Source organism: Homo sapiens, chromosome 4 (genome assembly GCF_000001405.40).
Source record: "Homo sapiens chromosome 4, GRCh38.p14 Primary Assembly".
Classification (NCBI taxonomy): Eukaryota; Metazoa; Chordata; class Mammalia; order Primates; family Hominidae; genus Homo; species Homo sapiens.
The window spans coordinates 116,597,653-116,600,954 of record NC_000004.12 but is presented as its reverse complement, the minus strand read 5'-3'; the positions used below and the strand labels follow the sequence as shown (position 1 = coordinate 116,600,954).

The 3,302-nt window shown below is 50.0% G+C and overlaps 1 pseudogene; it reads right to left on the bottom strand.

Annotated features, from left to right (window-relative positions):
• Positions 1-1,146: 1,146 nt before the first annotated feature.
• Positions 1,147-2,795, bottom strand: ACTN4P1 (actinin alpha 4 pseudogene 1; annotated as a pseudogene).

Below are 3,302 nucleotides of genomic sequence, written 5' to 3'. Positions count from 1 at the left end.
AATAATTAATAAAACTAGTTTCAAATATTTCTAAAAACTCCACATATTTCATTGTAAATAGGGCATTAAAATTATAGGGTAAAACTGTAAAAATCTCTAATACTCTGTATGATTTGTTTCCCAGGTTTCTTTCGTGTAAGGAAGTGATTACTATATTAAAGAGTGACTGATGAGTGCACTGAAATGCTAATCTTAAAACTACTAGAGAGCTGTATCCTATAATAAACTCAGTATAGTAAATTGTACATAATTTCCTAGCAACGAATGTTGTAATAAGTTACTGAGTTTGGAGAATATCACTCCAAAAAACATAAAAACCTTTCTGAAGTGATTTCAACGTTGACCTGAAAAATATCAATGAATTTTCAACATACATTTTATTCATATTTTGCTTCTCCTGTCACTATTAAATGGCTGTCTAAAACGTTCTACTCTTATCATTAAAAGATAATATCAACTAGCTGTTGATCTCTCCGGTGATCCACAGCAAAATTATATAATTTGTAACAATGCAGATTTGATGTAAGAAACAACTTCATTTATTTATTTATTTGTTTATTTAGTAATTCTCTGAAAGTTTTTATAGTTTTTTTGTGTTTTTAGTGATTTTTTTTGTTTTTTGTTGTTTTGTGTTTTTTTTCCTTTTTTTTTTTTTTTTTTTTTTTTTTTTTGGTTCTTAGAAAATCTGAGACATGTGAGGCTAGACAAAGCAAGGCCGGGGTGGTGGGATGGGGTGGGGTTCAGGGGGGTCCGGTCTGCCAACTCAGCTCCTCTGCTGCGAAAGCGGGGTGCTGGTTGGGGCCCCCATCTCCTGGCAATGGCAAGTGAGTCTGGAGCAGGGAGGGGAGAGGGGCTGGGTGGGTCCCCAGCCGTCGGGTGGTGGTGGCGCCCTCTGCTGGCCCCTCGCATGGCCCAGGCGGTTCCTGGACAAGGCACATGGGGCTTTGGCCTGGATGGGGAGGCCTTGAAGGGACCTCGGGGCAGAGGAAGAGACCTGGGTATGGTGAGGCATCCCCAGGGCATGGAAGGGACCGGTTGTGCTGTGGGAATCCACTGTCTCCTGCAAGATGGTTAAAAAAGCACAACACATCATACATATTTACCAGACCAGAAGCGCTGGCCCTAAGTCTCCCCAACCCCAACCTGGTCGGGGGAACCTCCTGGCCAACTCCCAAAAAGAGACAGGAGAGAGCCTGCCCCAGCCCCTCCCTGCCCACCCAGCCACCCGGGAGGACAGCAGAGAGTGCTTTGCATAGATACAGAGTGGAGGAACGGGACTGTGGGGCTGCCCCGGCCCCTCCTGGAGGCCATAGGGGGTGTTGGGTCCGGGTCTCTCTGGGGCCTCACAGGTCGCTCTCGCCATACAGGGCTGTGGAGGAAGACTTGTAGTCGAGGACACCGGGCACGGCGTCAGGGCCCTGGTAGGGCACCATGCGGGCAATAGAGTACTCGGCCTGGTCGGGGAGCAGCTCTCTCGCAGCTCCTCAGCTGTGATGAAGTTCTTGTCCCTTGCCAGGACCTTGAAGGAGGCGATGACCTGGTCGGCCATGTCCGTGTCGGTGGTCTCCTGCGACATGAAGTCGATGAAGGCTTGGAAGGTCACAAGGCCGCTATGGTTGGGGTCGACCAGGCTCATGATGCGGTTGAACTCGGCCTCACCCTGCCGGTCGTTCTCCACGTCATAGCCCAGGCTGATGAGGCAGGCCTTGAACCCCTCAGGCCCCAGCACCCCACCATGATCCTTGTCGAAGTGGTTGAAGGACGCCCGGAACTGCTGCATCTGCTCCTGGCTGATGCCTTTGACGTCGCGGGTGAGGATCTGGTTCTCCACCTCGATGATGGTTGGGGCAATGGTGGTGAGCAGCTGCTCCCTGCCCACGCGGATGTGCTCCATGGTGTGCTTGTTGTCGAAGATGAGGGCCTCCTGGATGAGCTGGTGCTGCTGCTCCAGCAGGTCCAGGTTAGGCTTGTAGTCCACGATGCTGTTTTCACACTGCTTCAGGTGGCTCAGCTGGTCCTCCAGGGTCCCGTTCATCTCAGTGGAGATGAGCCCGATCTCCTCCATCTTGGTCTGGATCCAGGGCCCCACGACGTTGGCCTGGCTGGCGAACTGGCAGCGCAGGTGCTTGTTGGACTGCTGGTTGCTCTGCTCCTCCAGGAGGGCGTGGTCCCGTTTTGGCACCAGCTGCTGCACCTTCCCCCACTTGGAGTTGATGATCTGTGGGGTGACGGTGGTGTAGGGGTTGCTGCCTGACAGCTTGATGTGGTTGCGCTCAGCGATCCTCTGGGCCTCCTTGTGGATGGCCAGGATGGCCTCGTGCTCCCTGTCAGCGTCCGGCAGGGTGGACTTGAACTGGTCGTGGGCTGAGATCAGGCCCTCAGTGTCCTCGATGGTGTAGATGATGAACATGTCCTGGAGGTCCTCCATGGCGCTCTCCATCCAGTTGTTGAAGGGGGCCACGCGCTTGGCATACTCCAGGTGCAGATGGTCTATGGCCTCCAGCTGCTTCTCTGTTTTCTCCAGGGCTTCCCTGCGACTGTTGGTCAGAGAGCCGAGGGCGTCCCACTGGTCCCAGATCTTCTGGCACCGGGTGTGGACATTGTGGGAGTCATAGTAATCCAGCTCGTTGAGCTCCTGGGCAAAGGCTGCGATCTGCTCCACGCGGTGCTGGTGTGCCGCAGCCAGGTAGCTCTCGAAGGCCTCGTGCTTGAGAATGAGGGCTTTGATGTCCGACAGCATGGCAGTCTTGTAGTCCTGGTGCCCCAGCATGGCTTCCTTCCCTAGGACCCAGGCCAAGGGACAGCCGGAGTGGGGACAAGGGGTCGTTGGGGGCTGGTCGTATTCCCAGGAAATCAAGTCCTTCGGAGAAGCATCCACCAGATAAGATTAGACAGTTGCCTTTTTCAGGAAATTTCTAAGAAGACTACAGACAATTTTAGAATTTGGGACAAAAATGAAGTGACAGTTTTTTTACTCTAATGCTTTGATAAAAAAATTAATCATCATCCTCATTATAATCATCAAGGTCTTAATAATGGGAATTGGAAAATAATAGGACAAGATAGATAATCACAGCAAAATGTCAATACCACATTAAAACGATACTCATATAAAGTACCCTTAAAGGGGAATTGCTTGAAAAGCAATGATAATTTACAGAGAAAAGGAAAAACCCATTTATTTAATTATAAATGCTTCCTATAAGAAAACCATAGTAGATTAATCAGAGGAATACCTTTTCAATGGTCTATCTGTTATTGGACTAACAAGGTTAATTTCCTTTATGTTTATGCTTACCACA